The sequence below is a fragment of the Homo sapiens genome, chromosome 9 (assembly GCF_000001405.40).
Source record: "Homo sapiens chromosome 9, GRCh38.p14 Primary Assembly".
In the NCBI taxonomy this organism is placed as follows: domain Eukaryota; kingdom Metazoa; phylum Chordata; class Mammalia; order Primates; family Hominidae; genus Homo; species Homo sapiens.
Window position 1 is genome coordinate 77,570,885 of NC_000009.12, and position 18,965 is coordinate 77,589,849.

An 18,965-nucleotide genomic window follows, 5' to 3' on the forward strand; every position below is an offset into this window, starting at 1 on the left:
CTGAAATAAGAGTACAACTTATAATCTATGTGCATATTTAATAGAGTAAATTGCCCTTTTACATTCAATATAATAAGTTATTTACTGAGACCCAACTAAGTGCTAGGCATACCTTACTTAATGCTCATGTACTCTATGATAGAGGTATTATTTTATAGATGAGAAAACTGAGGTTCAAAAAATGGGCTAGAATTGTATAGCTACCACAACTGCATGGTGCTAGTAGTAGCATTTAAACCTGAGTCAGTTATCTGTCAAAATCCAATTTTCCTCCACACTCTTATGCTATTGTTCAAAGATGAGCAAAGGATAATATGTACCTTCTATGAGTTCATAATCTCTGAGACAGATAAATATATAAATATTTGAACACAAGTAAGGCTGAGATAAGTTCTCAATAAGAGGAATTTTTCTAAGTACTGTGGAGGGGTTGGAGTTAAATTTTGACAGAGGAAATCTTGAAGATATTTTGGGATAAGTGGGATTTAAGAGGGTCTTATTTGTAGTGTATGGAAGAATATCTTAAATCAATGCTCTAAGACTATGTCATCCAATATGGTGCCTACTAACCACATGTGGCTGTTGAGCACTTGAAATGTGGCTAGTTTGGTTTGGGAAGTACTGTAAATACACACCAGATTTCAAAAACTTATCATTAAAAAGGGAAGTGCTTTGGGAAGCCGAGGCGGGCAGATCACATGAGGTCAGGAGTTCAAGACCAGCCTGACCAACATGGAGAAACCCTGTCTCTACTAAAAATACAAAATTAGCCAAGCTTGGTGGCATATGCCTGTAATACCAGCTACTCGAGAGGCTGAGGCAGGAGAATCGCTTGACTCCAGCCTGGGCAACAAGAGCAAACCTCTGCCTTCAAAAAAAAAAAAAAAGGTTAAGTGCTGTGAATACACAGGCATTTAAGGACTTATTATTTTTAAGAGTGTAAAATATCTCATTAATTTTTATATTAAGTGTATGTTGAAATGATAATTTTTTTGATATATTGGGTTAAATAAACATATATTACTAAAATTAATTTCATCTTTTTTTTTCCACCAACTGGCTGCTCATAAGAGAATCTGTGTTTTCACTTCAGTGTATTTACATTGTGTAAATGTTGGTTTCTAGCGATTTCAATTGAGGAGCAACTGAAAGAGAGTGGTGGCTGAGACCAAGGATTTGGGGAGAACTCTGAACAGGGTGAATAGAAAGGCCCATGAAAAATTCCCAGGTTAAGAAGAAAAGTCAAGTAATCTTGCAAATTACAAGTTTGTCTTTATTGACAGTGGATGATTTTTTGGCCTGTGAGTTATAAGGAACTAAAAGAAGGGCAATCACAGTGACAACAAAAGTGTTTTCCAAGAAAAGATCTAAGGAAAGAAACAGAGACCTAACACGTAGGGAAGAAGAATTATAAAATGCATCAATGGAATTATGTAGACTGAGAAATAATATCCAAAAACTTATCCAGACAAATCTTCCATTCTTCCTTTCTTGGGTCAGTCCTACCTTTAGACATTTCTTTTTTCTCCTTTCTTTCATAAAATGAAAGGAAATATCATATATCCATCATAGTTTTATAGAATACATAAAAAGACACAAATTCCAAATTGGCCCCAAAAGGTATTTTAGAAGAGAAGCTTTGTTTCAATGTGTAATAAACTGATCTGTGACCTGTGATCCAGTTTTTAAAAATATTTATGTCAGACTCACAATCTGCAATTAGAAACTAAAATTAACTAGCAACAAATACAACAAATTAGTTTGAATTAGCCAAGGTAATCAAGTCTATCAAAGAAATTAAATATATTAAGCAATAATGAGCCTAAACATCATCCTATGCCTTGAAAATCTTGCAAAAACTTGGTGTCTGTGTGCCTCCTGGGGACTCTGTACATTTTTAAATCAGGTCAGGCCAGATCCAATTAGGATGCTCTGAATGCTTTGGGGTTATAGTTTAATGAGTTATAGCAATAATTTACTAAATGTTCCATTGTGGCTTCATGGAGATAATATTACAGGTAGATAGCACAGGTCAATAGAACTAGCTGATTAGGATTTGCAGAAATAAACTATGACTAATAAGCCAACAATATACTGTCGACGCTAAATATTTAGTGATATTACCTCAGCTAAAATGAGATTATAGGTCACTTTAATACTCTGCTTGAAAGTTACTTTTATCAATCCTTGAATGCTTTCAGAGAATAATCTGTTAATTTTTCTGCATCAAAGATGTTGGGTTGCAGGAGAGGGGAGCATTAAAAGTAAAGATCTAGGTTTCAGGCAGGGTGCGGTGGCTCACGCGTGTAATCCTAACACTCTGGGAGGCTGAGGCAGGTGGATCACCCGAGGTCAGGAGTTTGAGACCAGCCTGGCCAACATAGTGAAACCCTGTCTCTACTAAAAATACAAAAATTAGCCAGACATGGTGGCAGGCACCTGTAATCCCAGCTACTCAGGAAGCTGAGGCAGGAGAATCGCTTGAACCCAGGAGGCGGAGGTTGCAGTGAGCCGAGACTGCACCACTGCACTCCAGCCTGGGCAACAAAGTGACATTCCGTCTCAAAAAAATAAATAAATAAAAATTTAAAAATAATAAATAAATAAATAAATAAAAATCTAGGTTTCAGCTTCCACTAGGACACAACTGATCTGCGCTCAAGAGATAAGCTGGCTAATTTTCTCCAGGGCATCTGCAGGCTTCATGATGGTGTGACAGTGGAAGGAGGGAAGGCAAAGGATGAGCAATACACTGAGGGGAAATCTTGCACCAAAATCTCTAACCATGGACTAGGATGCTAGACAAGGGTCAAGAATCATCACAAAGTTCAAAGACAGTGGCCAAACGCAATTAGACTTTTGTACTGCTTAAGCACTACCCTTTGTTTTTATAACTTCTGTCTGCTTCTCTGTGGTTATTAGACCAGAGGTTGGGGGAAACTTTAGTGTTGGCATGTGACTAACTCCACCTTAGAGAAGAAGAGGGTCAGGAGAGAAGGTGGCATATAAGGAGCTTAGAAAAAGAGTAACCATTGTATTATTCATATGTATCTACAAGTATCTATGTATCTCTATACACCCCATAACCTCACTTTGTAAACCTCAAATAGCCACAACAAAATTTATGTTTAAAAAAAGATATGGGTATCATGCCATGCATCTGTAATTCCAGTACTGTGGGAAGTTGAGGAGAAAGGATCGCTTGAGGCCAGGAGTTCAAGACCAGCCTGGGCAACATAGCAAGAGCCTGTCTCTAAAATTAAAATTAAGCAAAAAAGAGAGAGGACCTACAGGAAACACAGTGAGGCAAGCTGCCACTGAATATAAGCAAGAGCATGACACTGAAAGCAGTCTCAGCAACAGGACAATCAAGCTGCACCTTGACGGTATTTCAAGTGTGAAGAAAAAGGCAAAGTAAAGTCTAGAGAGATCATTACTTTCAGTGGTTTACTTCAAAATTAAAGAAGTTGTTTGTGTGGTAATTTCAAATGCAATCAAGATTTGTGTTTCCTTCCTTCCCGGACTGCCATGGGTCTGGAGGGGTGATTAAATACAGACAGTAGTTTATAGCTAATGATGACCAATGGAATAAAAAATATTTCTGCAACTTGAAATTCATATATTACATATACTGTTTCTCCTTGCATTTTAAATGTGTAGGAATATGAGGATTAATGTAAATACATTTCTTTTTTCACTTAAAATGGGTAGAAACAAGGATTCTCATCAACTGACACTGTCAGGAATATTTGTTCATCTTTGAGAGGCTCATTAGGTATAATTAACAGTAGCCATCACATCAGGCAAGCTCTGGAATCTCAGTAGCTTAATATAATATTTTTCTTGCTTATTTGCACTCAGTCAGGCAGGCAACCTTCCTCCATGCTGCAGCTATGCTATCTGTGACATGTGGCCTCCAACATTGCTACAACAAAAGAAGAGAAACAGGGGAGTCTTATGTGCCTTGTCCCAGATGACACTCTCTCCTTGGAGTCACATGGCTCTAAAATAAGTGCAAGGGAAGTGGGAAAACTTGGCGAGCACTAACTGTTAGCTGCCTCACACCCAACTTTCTGTAGAAGAGTAAATCAGCCAGATGTCTACCCTGTAGGGGGGAAGTAAATAAGGTTGCCAAGGAAACTTTTCTAGAGGATAGTTTGAAATTGCTAAGTACAGCTGGAGACACAAGATAATGATTTCACGCTTCATACCCTTACTCAGTTTCCAGAGTTGGGGCTTTGACCCAGACAAGGAGCGGAAGGTAGCTGGTATGGCCCCATTTGACTTCATATCTGGCTAGAATACAAGTTTCTCAATTTCAACTCCAATGTCATGAAAACTAGACATTATTAGCCGAGCATGGTGGCACATGCCTGTAATCCCAGCTACTCAGAAGCGGAGGCAGGAGAACAGCTTGAACCTGGAAGGCGGACGTTGCAGTGAGCTGAGATCGCGCCACTGCACTCCAGCCTGGGCAACAAGAGTGAAACTCCATCTCAAAAAAAAGAAAGAAAACTAGACATTACACATTACTTCCTTCTAGAATGAAAGGTTCTTATTGAGATATCAAATTTACCTAAACTTTCCACATGAAAAAAATTTACTTCCAGGTCTTACTTGATAGTAAATGTTTATTAACGCTTGTAAATTAAAAATTACTTGAAGATTTTTTTTAAACTACTGATATCGGTCTCCTATTTCAGGCCAATTGAGTTATAATGTCTGAAGACAGGCCCAGACAATGATTTTGTTTTTAAACAAGCTGGGTAATTCTTAAAGGCAGTTAAGGTTGACAAGTTCTATTTTAGACGTAAATCCATCTCATCTCCTACAAATTACCATTTTCTATTGGTTTTAAGTCTGAAAACCTTTAAAAAGTATTAGTGCCTAAGACCCACCTCAGATATTCTGATTTAATTGATTGAGTTGTCGGGGGCTGAACTTGGGGATATTTGAAGTTCTTCATGTGATTTTAACAAGAAGACAAGTATAAGAACTGCCATTTTGTGTCAACACAGCCATCCCTAAACCTCCTCACCAGACCAGAGGTGGCATGACCAAAAAGGGGTTTCAGGAGAAGGGGGTAGAAGCTGCACCGCTGGTGCTATCCATGGTGCTGAAATGTTGTTGCAATGAATTTATTAGTAACCATGGTGAGCATTTATTATTGTTTATAATATTAACATATAAAATCTTCTATGGTTGCATGTTTTTAAATTAAGAGACATAAATATACTGCTAATCATAGAACTATATTCCTATGGATTTTCAGTTCAATATCATGGCTTGTTAAGGGAGAGAGATTGAGGGATATGGTGAGGGAGGGTCAGGGAGAAGAGAAAGACGTTGAAAGAGAGGGTAATTTGCTGTTTGTCCAGTGATCGGATAGGGCAAAAATAAAGATAGTTATGACTTGAGCTCTTGATAAATCCACATATTTTTATTTTTAGCTGATGATAGTGTACCGAATACTGAATAATTTTTAAAAACATCTAAATTTTTACATCCCATCTAAAAAATCGAAAGCATAGTGTTTATAGTTTTGTTTTTCTAAGAAGATAGAGTGACTTTTTTGAGGAAAAGCCTATTTCAAGAGTAACATCTTCATCTTATGCTATATAACAATACTACCACTGAAGAGTTTCAGTTGATGCATTTGTGTAGCTTCATAAAAAATGGGTTAACATGGTGTCAGGGAACTCTAATGATTAGATATGGCCAAGAGGTTAATGTTTCCCACCTTTCCCTCCACATTCCTTACATCATTATCACAATTAAGTTGCCCAGTCAGTAATTTATTATTTTAGGTCTGAAAACCTATACTCATTTCCTCAAATTTTACGGAGATGCTCTATGTTCCATGATTCATCCAGCAATGACTTGGTAACAAACGGTTAAAAGGTTAAAAAAAAAAAGAATGCTATACACCTTTCCCAATTTATGAGTGTTATCAGAAACACAGCAAATATTTTCCAGGGTAAATGACATACGACATTATGAAAATATGAGCCTCATATGCTAACCTGAAAATGTCAAATATTTGAACCCCACCTTATCAGCAAATAGCTCAGAAATTTATGCCTCTTCCTTGCTAACCTCTAGCATTTTCCATGAGGTAGTAGTATGTGCATGCACAGAAATCTAATAAAACACATGGAAACACCCTTTGAAACAGTTATACTCCTATTTTCTGCAAGCAATTAAAAATTAAGGGCTTTAGGCTAGACACCAGAGGTGCTTGCTAATATGCAGATCCACAGAAGAGTTTGTGGGGAAAAAAGTCTCTCATCCCAAATTAAAATTACTCAAGAATTCATTTTACTTACAACCAAGCTAAATGAGCTTGGACACCTGAATTTACTGCTTTGGGGGAAAGGAGAGTAAGTTACTGCCCTGTATTTTCTTACATACTGTACATTCTAAAGAATGAATTCCAGATCAATCCTATGTTCCCCTAAATGAAAGTTCAGAGCTTTACCAATTTGGTTAGTATAACAATAAAATAGAGTTCAGCTCTCAGAACTGGCTTTATCCTCCATCTATATCGATATTTAACAAGTGGGTCTCATAAACTCAAGTCTTAGTGGATTCAGGTCAAGATGCTTTCAAAAACAAACACATCTGATCATCCTACAAGGGTGGGGCAGCCCTCCCTCTAGCACTGTCATCAGTGAGACATGACTTCTGTTCACCAAAGAGACTTTCAAGAGACAGTTTACCATCAACACATGGAGAATCATTTTAGCACAGCCTCCTTAAACTTCTGATATTCCCCATCTGCAGATTAAACACTCTGAGAATCTTCCTGTTTACTGACCACTTTCAATGAGGGCTCTGTAGAATCGAGAAGGAGGATGACAGAAGGAGTTGCAGGAGGTACTTTGGAATTGCTCTTCCCATCAAATGGCCTCAAAACTTCTTCTCCCAGTAGTCATGTTTTTTTTTAAGGAAGTGAACAAAGAAATCATAAATACTCCTATCTCACCATTTAAGAGTTAGTATTACTGCAGTATGAAGATACTCATCATCAGAACCCACAGACAATAGGTCAAGGGTCGTGGAGTGAAACCATGAATGATCATGGCAACAAGATTAAGTCTTGGCCAGGCGCGGTGGCTCATGCCTGTAATACTAGCACCTTGGGAGGCTGAGGCGGGCAGATCACGAGGTCAAGAGATCGAGACCATCCTAGCCAACATGGTGAAATGGTGAAACTCCGTCTCTACTAAAAAAATACAAAAATTAGCTGGGCGTGGTGGCACACACCCGTAGTCCCAGCTACTCAGAAGGCTGAGGCAGGAGAATCGCTTGAACCTGGTATGCGGAGGTTGTAGTGAGCCGAGATCGTGCCATTACACTCCAGCCTGGTGATGGAGTGAGACTCCGTCTCAAACAAAACAAAAACAAACAAACTAAAAGATTAAGTCTTGCTTGCCTTTTATCTGAGGATCATTGGGCCTGCCCTGCATCAGTGGCCCTGTGATTTCAGTCTCTCACATAACTCTAGAAAACTCTATTATATCTAGGGCCAATGACAGTTTTATATTGCTTGAAAAACTTGTTTAGAGCTTGTTTGATATTGTGCTTCCAATATGAGTCAACTATTGGAATAGATACAATATTGAAAAATATCAATCTGGAACTAGAAAAGGACATGTTTAGTCACAGGTTGCTACAACCTTGAGATATAGATGAGCACCATATGTCTTAAAACTCATAAAATTTAAAAAATTGAATGAAGATACAGAAAATATTTTCATGCAAATCTTTTCATAGCCTTGGTTTAGAGACTGTCCTTGAAACATTTATCCCACTTAAAACCTTAACCTCATACTTCCCATATTGTAGTTTGGTTGAAACCTCATTTCCGCACAAATTTTGTCCCTATGAAGAGGTAGGCTTCAAATACAAAGAGGATTCATTACTGGAAAAGGGAATGAACCAGCTGGGTAAGAGGGGCAGAGACTGTAAGTGCACCTAGAATACTGAGATCCAGTCTTCATTAATGATAAGGCCTTCCACTTGATGGGCATCCAAAACACAGACTTGTGGGCCTAACCAATGCTGTGGCCCTTATCTCGGACTATAAGGTGATGCTGGCTATGACATCTGGGCAACTGCTGGGCCACTGCCTCTGCTCTATTCTCCAGGCCATTTAGCCATGGGAGGCTGGCAGTGAGCTGCCCGAGATGGGATGAGGATGTCTCTACCCAGGATCTCTGAGATCTAGGGCATCAGTCCCACCCTATGTCACACCTATAAAGTTGGAATACTGGAGCATGTGACTGGCCCTCAGGCACTGGGAACAAATAAGGGGCCTTCACTCTAAGGCTGGGCACAACTGAATGTGAAGGAGCAGAGCAGGTGGAGTTGACAACTGTCTTCAGATGAGAAGACATTGCCAACAAACACCCATACCCACAGGCTACTGGGAATAAATGCTCTCTGCAGGGCGCGTATGTGTAGGGAAGGGGTTGCCTCAAGTCCTGCCCTTCCCCAACAATAGACAAAGATTTGGAACCAGAGACCAGCTGCTTGTCCGAGCTGATACTGGTTCTGGTTTCATGATCAGTCAATGACCTTGAGGCACATTCTTTTAATTTCCCCAAAATCTAGTTGCTCCAGTTTTATAAAGTGATGTTAACTTTGCAAATTCAAAGGAAATCTTGATGTCTGCAAGTCCCTGGTCTTGGGCTTTTCACAGACCCATTGTTCTTCCTTCAGCCATTTAAGGTTACTTTCTATAGGCATGCCAAATAGACTCTACATTTCCCCCCATATAGACATTTCAACGACAGTCTCACCAAGATGCAAAAATGGGATCGATTTCGTTTCCCTTAGGTCTGCTGACTCATTTATTTAAGTCAATGGCAAGTCCTAATTTGTTCAATTGTGAAGTGCTTGGACAGAAATTACTGCTATTGTAAGAGTGAGTTTTTACACTTTCCAGTGATGCCCCTTCCTTGCCACCAATCCCCTTGCTAGTTGATTCATTTCTATCCTTCTCCACATTCCTCTTGGGAGCACACTTGAATCTAGTCATTTATTCATTCAAAATCTATTAAGAACCTATTATGAGCCAGGGTTTTGGGAATTTTTGCCTTCTTCTGGCAATTTTTAGGTGGGTTGGAAATATTCCCGGCCCACTTGTAGCTTCCTTCCACTCTCATTTAATATATAGCACATAACCAGGGTGACTGTATGTCCTGGTTTGTCTAGAACAGTCCTAGTTTGTGCCCATTATGCAAGCATAACTCTCAATAGTGCCCACTTGGGTCACAAACCACACTGGGTTGTTGCTGCCACTGCCGCCATAGTGCCAGCCCCTTGGGTCTCTGCAAGGCCAGGTGATGCTCCAGAATGGGAGATAAGCTGATTTGGAAGCAAACTGAATCCAGCTTCATTCAACATTACTACCAGTTATTTGATAAAGATACAACCCGAATAGGTACAATTTACATTGACGCGTCATGCCTTAGGTGGGAAGGACAGCAATGACAGGGGAAAGCTGCCATTGTGGAGAAGTTGTCTAGCCTTCTGTTCCAGAAAATCCAGTACAGCATCACAGGCACAGGACAATTAGCCCACACCAGATAGCTGCATCATCAGCATGGTTGTGGGTGAGCTTAAGGTAGATGAAGACCCCATCATCGGGTTCCACCAGATGTTCCTATTAAAGAATATCAGTGAAGCTTGGGTTTGCACCAATGACATGTTCAGGCTTGCCCTGCTCACTTCGGCTGACCTCCTCTCAGCCAGGCACTCACACTGTTTCCTCCTCACACCTCTTCCCAATACTATTCGTACTCCTCCAGATGCTCCAAATATCATACACAAATGAGCAGGGCCACGATGGGAGTGTGCACAGTGTGCTGCTGCCACCAAGGTGTTGTGCATGATGTTTGGATGCTAGACTAGTTGCACCTGATGAGAGAAGTCTGTATTGTACCAGTGCATGCCTCAGTAATACATGTGCATGCAAGTAATACAAAAGGTAATCTTTTAAAAGAATCTACTGACGAGTTGCTCTAGTAACCCAAAGAAGTGAAGGAAAAAGCAGCTGCCTCACTGCCCATTGATTTCTTCAGAAGTTTCAATGCTTAAAGATACAATAAAGGCACACACACACACACACACACACACACACACACACAATAGTACCCACCTTTACTCAGACTATCTCAGTTTGAATTATAAATGACTTGGTCACCCTAAAGATAACTAGATCTATCTGCAGTTCTCATAGACTTTTTGCAGGGTGTGTTTACGGGCAGGGAGATGTGGGAGTGGAAGGAGTCCCATTTACCGGGACCACATGAAACCTTAGTTATGTGCTAGGCTGAGACAGGCTGCAAGAGGAAACCATGAAGCTTGCTGCCATCTTGTAAGAATTATGTTTGGAATCAGTTCTTTTCAGAGGGAGCTAACAGGTTGACAGCATAGAGTCCATAGCCAGACCTCCTGGCACCACCATTTCCTAGCTATGGGCAAATCTTCTAACCTCTCTGTGCCCTGGTTTCCTCATATGTAAAATGAAGATAACCATAGTACCTACATCATGTGGTTGTAAAGATAACGTGAGTCAATGTACCTGGCACATCCAAACTGCTATGACATGTTTTCTGCCACACATGATTGCCCTGGATTCAGATCCAAGTCCGAGACAACTACACAGTGGCCGGACATAAGGGAGGTCAACTTTCAAGGGAATTTTGGTGCAAAAGACTCTGGTTCGGACATTGGTAAAATTACCCCAATCGGATCCTTTTAGGAAGTAAATGCTTGATAAACAAGGCAGGTCACTGAAGTTGTATCTCAAGTTTGGCCCAGTCACAGAATCCTTAGGACCCAGGGTAGCTGAATGCCCAGAAGAAACAATCATCCAGTCCACATTCCTGTGGATGCTTCTCATCATCTCTCATCATCCAACTTCATCTGTTGGTGGCTCTCCTCTGCCACCTTAAATAAATACAGGGAGGACGGGCCAAGCTTGATTCACAGAGGAAGAGGTGCATGAAAAATCTGGAACCTCAGAACCGTGACATCAACAGGAAGCTTCCTATTCTCAACTCTTAAATTGTAACACCCTTCTCTTCAATCACAACTTCAGCTCAATCCAGCTCCCTGAAGCTCATAAACACCCTGGGCTCCTTGGAGCCTCCATTGTTTCACAAATTATTTTTTCTCCATTTTCATTTTCTTTCATCCACAACCTGGATCATGTGTCCTATCATTGTAATGCCCTTTCAGCAACACTTTACTTTCACCTCCCAGTATTTGTCCACCCAAGGCAAGAACGCTTCCAATCCTGGATTGATCCCACTTGGCACAAGAAAACCCCAAAGGAACTGCAGAATATTTTAGGTTTGTGCTGCTACTCAGTTATAAGTTCACAACTTCAGTGGGCCCTCAGTGGTGTGCTTTCCTTTCTGTGGTGTAACTCACTAGCCTTCCACCTTCATCCCTATCCTCTACAACTTTACCAACCTCTCCCCCTCCCCTACTGCTTTCCACCAGGCAGGTAAACCCTGCTTGAGAAACACTGACCGCCAGGATAGAGTCCAATCTCCTTAACTGCTGTCCACCTGCCTCCCCTGAGATCTTGTCCATTACTTTGAACTTACAGTTTGCCATCACTCAACGACAATTTGCATGCCCATTTTGCATAAGTGGTTATATCTATCTGAATTTTTTTCACTTCTCTCCAGTCCACCAGATAAATATTTCTGAACTTTTCAAACACAACCCCCTTCACTCCCTCATCCCAGCTGCCACAAGATTTAATCATTTGTTCCAGTCATATGACTTGACACCTCCTGTCATCGGTCTGATATACAGACTGATAGCAGGCAATCACAGATACATTGTGCAACACCTCCTGTTGTTGCCTACGTATCTGTGCTTGCCTAACATAGGTCTGTATATCTGTATTTGCCACAAGACATTGAGCTCTGTAAAGTCAAGGGCCTGGTCTTGCTCATCTTTCTCTGCTCAGGGAACTGGGAAGTCTTCAGGAGACACTCAAAAACCATTGACTGATTAATGGAAACCTCACTCTGACTGGCAAGGCTTGATTTTCACACCTGTACCCAGCTATGTTAAATCAAGATCCCCAGTGATGAATGCAGTGCTAGCATCTGAAATTGTCGGTCAAACTGCAAATATAACAGAAGGCAGTGCTCAGACACTTCCCAGCAGCACTCACTGGTGCAAAGCTCAGAGGTCTTGGGATAGGCACAAGAACTTCACCCTATCTCTAATTGGGCTAATTCTCCCCCAACAAATGAGATAACGCAGTCTTTGTTTTGTGAATCTGATCAGGAAATGCAAGCCAGACATTAAAGACTGAGTTCGGATATAAGGGGCTGGGAACAGAGAAGAAAACAATCAAGGAAGACAAGAAAGCATTAAATTTACACCCGAGGTCATGAGAGCTTCAGCTAAAAAGGCAGATAAATAGCAAGCAGCTGGGAAATGTGGAAAAGCTCTGGCAACAGAAAACCCCAATTCAAGGAATCTGGACTCCTCTGACTCTAGATTCCAAAACAAAGGATTTCTCTGGAAGTTCATGAAGTTCCAGTAAAACTGTTTGGAATTTTACTCGTTTTATGTTCTCCTTGATTAAGAGGTTGGGACTTTTTAAAACTCTTTTCAGATGATTTCTGTTTGACTCTTTACTGACCTACTTCTGAGTGTATGTGTGAGAGACACTGAACAGCCTAACTCCTGTGTCTACAAGCTTGAGATGAGATCCCCATCATCTCTTCTCCAAGCTTTCAGCCCTCTAACCGACTCCCCCACTCCAAAAAATCCTTGATCAGCCCCTAAACTAATGTTTCTAAAACTTTTCTGTGCATACCACCTGGGGATCTTGTTAAAAATGCAGAGTCTGACTCAGTACATCTGGGGTGTGGTCTGCAAGTCAGCATTTCTAACACACCCCCAGCCAAAGCCATTGCCTCAGCTCGGAGGACCACTGCTGGAGTAGCAAGGTCCTACTCCTCCACTAGTGGACCCAAAAGATGTCACCCAAGGGACAAACACGATGCTCCATTGATCTGCAGGAATAAAGTATCTGAATTTTAGGTTATATTTGTCTAAAAATATAAAATCTCAACAAACACAGCTAACCTCACTTGGTCTGTCAGATGACCTCCCAACAGAGAATGTGTGAAAAGGAATACTGAGACAAGGGCAAAAATAAAATTCTGCAACTCAGAGCAGTAGACAGCAGTGGACTCACTTGTTCATTCCCATTCAGTTTACTGCCTAAACAGTGCCAAGAAACTGCGAAAGGTAACATTAAGAATCTACCTCTACCATTCAAAGGTGGTCTAGCAGTTCAAAATGATAATAAAGATTATTTGGAATATAGGCTTATAGTCATCTTTAATGATGACCTTGATAGTATATTGCATCTGAAAATAGTATATGCTTATGATTTTAAAGTAATAATCCCCAATTTGAAGAGTACATATGCAAACATTATTTTACTGATGGGGTGTGCAATCAAAGTTTGGAGACCACTGTTCTATACCACTAGCTTGCCTTTCCTTTCACCAGAGAATAAACATCCCTAGCCTCTACCCTCCCAACCCATCCTGTCTCCAGTCCTGTGACTTACCCCCCACCCCCCACCACCCCAACCAATATTTCAGCTGAAGTGGTAGCAGGAAGAGCCAGCAAGCCCAAACTCAGATGATGCCAAGGGGCAGGGAGGTGTTACAGGAAAGTGGTCCAGATCCAGACCCCAGGAAAGGGTTCTTGGATCTCATGCAAGAAAGAATTCAGGGTGAGTCCGTAGAGTAAAGTGAAAGCAAGTTTATTAAGAAAGTAAAGGAATGAAAGAATGGCTACTCCATAGACAGAGCAGACTCAAGGGCTGCTGGTTGCCAATTTTTATGGTTATTTCTTGATTATATACTAAATAAGGGGTGAGTTATCCATGCCTCCCCTTTTCAGACCATATAGGGTAACTTCCTGATGTTGCCATGGCATTTGTAAACTGTCATGGAGCCGGTGGGAGTGTAGCCATGAGGACAATCAGAGGTCACTCATGGCTATCTTGGTTTTGGTGGGATTTAGCCGGCTTCTTTACTGCAACTTGTTTTATCAGCAAGGTCTTTATGACCTGTATCTTGTGCCAATCTCCTATCTCATTCTGTGACTTAGAATGCCGAACCATCTGGAAATGCAGCCCAGTAGGTTTCAGCCTCATTTCACCCAGCTCCTATTCAAGATGGAGTTGTTCTGGTTCACACGCCTCTGACAGAGGGATCACAGAATCTTAAAGAGGGAAGAGTGCGTATGAGACCAGAATATGCCACCCCAAAATATGACCATAGGAGACCAGAATATCCCATCCCAAAATATTCCTTTTAGGCATAAGAATTATTTTGAGCTGATTATTTTGAGAAACTACAGACACAGAAGTTCCAAACACAGAGTTGAAGTTTCCTTTTGTAAGGGAAATTTATATCTACAAAGAAAATCTCCATTTGTAAGGGTGTCTCCCTCTCGGTACCAGGAAGAGAAGGATGACTCACTATAGTCTCTTATCAATGAAGAAGGCACAACTTAAAGCTGCATAACAAACCTTACCTTTCTTTACCATGCTTTTCCTGGGTAGCTCCCCATAACTGGACTTCCCCCAACACCCTTGTGACCATTTCTCTGACCATTACTCCAATGGCATGATTCCAGCCTCCTGGCTCTCATCTCTGAATGTGACCTGCTTTGCCTATATGCCTCTGTAGGTATGGAGCACAAAGTGGAATTCCTCACCTAAAGTGTGGTATGACCAGCACAGAGCAGCACAGGATTCTCACCTCCCTTTTCTCAGATAGTATACCTCTACTAATATTGCCTGTGACGTCTATCCAATAAATCCCCTAAATGTTTTTATTGGTGCTTGTCCCCTGCTACATCTTCCTCATTTATAATTCCAGAATTCCCTCTTGGGCTGCGGGAGGTTTTTAGACCTTTATGTTGTTAGATTTCATTTATTATTATTTAGTATTACCTTCTTATGCCTGTAATGTATTATTGTTTTTGCCTTCCCAGAATGTTTGCCCTTCTGTCTGTAACAGTATTTCTATTTATTTTCCAGGCAGTCTTAGTGGTGCTAACAATCAAGTGGCTTGCCTTGTTCTGACCTGAGTGTTCGCCAAACACTCCCCAGGCTACAACAGCCGCGCTCCCCTCTGAAATCAGGACACAAGAATTGAAAGAAACTGGAACAGATACATCACTTACCCCTGGCATCCAGAACCCCAGAGCATCCTTCCCACAAATTGGTTATAACAAATTACCACAAACTCAGTGGCTTAAAAGAGCACCAATTAGGGGTCTAGCATCCAAAATATATAAAGAGCTCTTTTTTCATACATATCCATACTATATAAAGATCTCTCACAACAACAAAAAGATAACCAGCCCAATTTTTTAAAAAAGGTCAAAAAATGGAAATTTCCTCAATAAAGATATATAGTCAACAAGCATATGAAAAAATGCTTGACATCATTAGTCATTAGAGAAATGAAAATACAATTCAGAGTGAGGTGCTACTTCACTCCCACTAATAAAGTGGCATAGTTGTCTGGGGTAAATACCCGAGGTTTGTTGTCCCACACCAAGGGAATCAAGGACACGGACACTCAAGAAGTAAGTTTAAGAGCAGAGGCTTAATAGGCGAAAGAAAGAGAACAGCTCTCTCTCCTGCACACAGAGGGGCGGCCAAGTGGGCCTTCTAGTCCGTGGCAAAGTGCACAGATGAGCTTGAGGCGGCGGTGTCTGATTTACATAGGGCCCAAAAATTGGTTGGACCAGGTGTGTCATTTACATAGTGCGTGAAGAAGCTGGCCACCCCACCCTAACCTTTTATTATGCAGATAGGTTCTCTACCTGGCCAGCGCCATGTTGCCTGTTCCTTTACGGTACCCGTAGTTGACCGAAAAAGGAAGATGGAACCTCCATGTTGAACACGCCTGGTCCCCCAGGTAGCACTTTCCTATTGGCACAGCTGCAGGCATTCACCCGTGCAAGCTTCCAACTTGCTTACCTATATGTCTGCAGCTCGATTTTACAGGCTGGTTTTTTTTTTTTTTTTAATAGAAAATAAATGATTTGGGGGCTGCTTTTTATTAAAGGAAAATCTTACTAAGGACTCTCTTACCTTCACTATCTGACTAAATAATTTCTTTCTAGCTCCTGTTATCATTTGGATAGCTATACTTAAAAAAAAAAGAAAAGAAAAGAACAAGTGTTGATGAGGATGTGGAGAATTGGAAACCTTATGCATTCCAGTTATTTGGTGGGAATGTAAAATGGTTCAGCTGTTATGGAAAATAGTTTGGCAGTTTCTCAAAAAGTTAAACATAGAATTACCACATGACCCAGCAATTCCACTTCTAAGCATATATACCCCCAATACTGAAAGCAGGAACTCATATTAGTATCTATACTCACATGTTCATAGCAGCACTATTCACAATAGCCAAAATGTAGAAACAGCCCAAATATCTATCAGTTGATGAATAGCTAAAGTTATTGTGGTATTTATATACAATGGAATATTATTCAGCCATAAAAGGAATGAGGTACTGGCACATGCTACAACATGGGTGAACTTTAAAATATTTGCCAAGCAAAAGAAGCCAGAAGACGCAAAAGTCACATAAGATTGGATTTCTATGAAATATCCGTAGTATGAAAGAACACAGATTGGTGGTTATCTGGGGGAGGTGGGACAAAGGGATGGGGAGCGAATGCCTAGTATGTATGGAGTTTCTTTCTGGGCTGATGAAAATGTTTTGGTCCTAGATAGAGTGTTTGCATAGTACTGTGAATGTACTAAATGCCGCTGAATTGTTTGCTTTAAAATGGTTGCTTTTATTCAGTGAATTTCACTGCAATTGAAACACATGCACACAAGCACACGTATACACACACGAATTTATTCTCTCATAGTTCTGGATTTCAAAAATCCTAAAACCTAGGGGTTGGAGGGCTCTGTTCCTTCTGGAGGCTCTAAGGGAGGCTTCATTCCATGCCTTTTTCTGGCTACTAAAGGCCATCTGCCTTCCTTGGCTTTGGCCCCTTCCTCTATCTTCAAAGCCAGCAGTGACTTCAAATTCCTGTCTCAGTGATGTCTGCTTCAGTCATCACATCGTCTTCTCTGACTCTGGCCCTCCTGCATCCCTTATTATAAGGACCCTTGTATTACATTGGTTCTACCTGAATAGTCAAGAACACTCTCCCGATTTCAAGATCCTAATCCCATCTGCAAAGTCCCTTTTGCCATGTCAAGTAACATATTCACAGTTTTCAGGGATTCAGAGGGGGACATCTTTGGGGGGCTATCACTCCATCCACCACACCCTGACACCCCTTCAGTGAACTCCTTTTCTTCCTTCAGTTAGCCAGTGTCTGTTGCTTGCAACCACAGAACATTAATTGATAAAATACTTCCTGTTTTTCAGCACTGTATTTTGAATGAAGAATGTGAAAGTAACAAGCAGGACTTGGTGATTTCTTGATCCTGATGGAGAATGACTAAGGAAATCTGCAGGAATTTCACATTTAGCACAATGCTTTCCCCAGGAGCAAGGAAGCCTGGAGAGCAGATGCTTAGGAAGTGTCTGACAGCTGAATGAGTCACGGGGTGAGAAGAGAAGGAAAGTTTAAAGCCTTTAATCAGAGGATATAGAAGCAGGGATAAGACTGAACAGAGAGGAGCAAGGAAGCAGGAAAATATATTTCATATAAAAATCTAAGTTAGAAGGCAGGTTAGCACACATAGCATAAAAGTTGCTAATCCCCCTTCTTTGTCAGGTGACACTCTCCTACTGTCAAACCTGAATCTGAGTCAGAGGTCACCTTAGCCCCAGGAAGTCCTTCTGATGTTCCCAGAGAGAATTAACAGCTTTCTCTGTTCCACAAATATATACTGGGTGCTTACTGTGTTGCTCTGAACACATGCAGTCGCAGAAAATTCTTCAAAAGAAGGAACCTGCTTTTGCCACTGTCTAAAAGTGCCTGGGACACATTGGGGGTTCACATGCTAGCCACATTTTTAAAAGCCATGGGCCAGCACAGCTAAAAAGAACTGTTTGTTTGCTTTAGACATTAGCATTCAAAGCCATCTTTATTTATATTCCATTTCATACAGACCCTTCAATGTATTTTTAAAAATCAAACTTGGAATCACAGCACTTTTGTATGCCCCAGGAATCTATTATAGCTCAGTAACTTTTAGGACCAGTTTACCAAAACCTGGCATTGGTTTTCACAGGTGCATTTCTTGCAAGCCAAACTGGCCTGACAAGGAAATAAATGCTCACTTGCAGGGTCATTTCTAGCTCTGATGGGCCAGGCCACTTCATTTCCCAGAGCCTCTTAAGGAGGAAGCTATTTGACTTTCTGCGTCAACCAAACTGTCAGTGTTACCAATTCCTTTGACTTTGACCTAGAAATTTTATTCATGCAAAATGGAGTGAGCTCGGTTTTCTTTTTTTGTTTTGTTTTTTTGTTTGTTTGTTTTTGGAAGTCATGGTTCCTGGAAGAGCGGAGAACACTCTTTGTTTAATATATCACCTTAGGGTTCAGATATCACTTATATTTCATTCTCAAAAGCCATCGTATGAGTCAGCCCTGTCTTTACAGGTACTGTGTTTGTTGAAAGGGGAGAGGGTTGTTTGCTCATCCAGGGTGGAGAAACCTCTGAGAGTAGCTGGATATTGCCTTTTTCCTCCACCCTCGGGCTATGGCCTGTAGTCAGTACACAGTGGGTAAACCGCAGGTTGCCTAAAGCAACCATGATAGCCAGAGTTGCCTGCAAAAGCACATTGTCATTTGGATGGCAACACTGGATTTTAATTATGACCATCCAGAGTCACTGCCTTCCATACCAAGACCTTGACTTCCTAAAACAACACACTATAAACTACGTCTTTTATAATCAGGGA

At 40.9% G+C, this 18,965-nt stretch overlaps 1 protein-coding gene and 1 pseudogene across 1 annotated transcript in view, besides 3 other annotated features; one reads left to right on the plus strand and one right to left on the minus strand.

The window, feature by feature from the left end:
• The window catches only part of GNA14 (G protein subunit alpha 14), a 225,244-nt gene that overhangs the window by 147,806 nt on the left and 58,473 nt on the right, over positions 1-18,965 (minus strand). The gene's annotated exons all lie outside the window — the stretch shown is intronic.
• Positions 4,996-5,196: a silencer, noted in NCBI's record as "peak7272 fragment used in MPRA reporter construct". NCBI's record gives its function as "represses an SCP1 promoter by STARR-seq MPRAs in K562 erythroleukemia cells {active_cell/tissue: K562}" and the evidence as "EXISTENCE:reporter gene assay evidence [ECO:0000049][PMID:32103011]".
• NUTF2P3 (nuclear transport factor 2 pseudogene 3) lies at positions 9,280-10,042 on the plus strand (annotated as a pseudogene).
• Positions 14,381-15,272: an enhancer, noted in NCBI's record as "OCT4-NANOG-H3K27ac hESC enhancer chr9:80200181-80201072 (GRCh37/hg19 assembly coordinates)". NCBI's record gives its function as "activates a minimal SCP1, AML or CMV promoter by ChIP-STARR-seq in primed H9 embryonic stem cells {active_cell/tissue: H9 hESC(primed)}" and the evidence as "EXISTENCE:reporter gene assay evidence [ECO:0000049][PMID:30033119]".
• Positions 16,601-17,506: an enhancer, noted in NCBI's record as "H3K27ac-H3K4me1 hESC enhancer chr9:80202401-80203306 (GRCh37/hg19 assembly coordinates)". NCBI's record gives its function as "activates a minimal SCP1, AML or CMV promoter by ChIP-STARR-seq in naive H9 embryonic stem cells {active_cell/tissue: H9 hESC(naive)}" and the evidence as "EXISTENCE:reporter gene assay evidence [ECO:0000049][PMID:30033119]".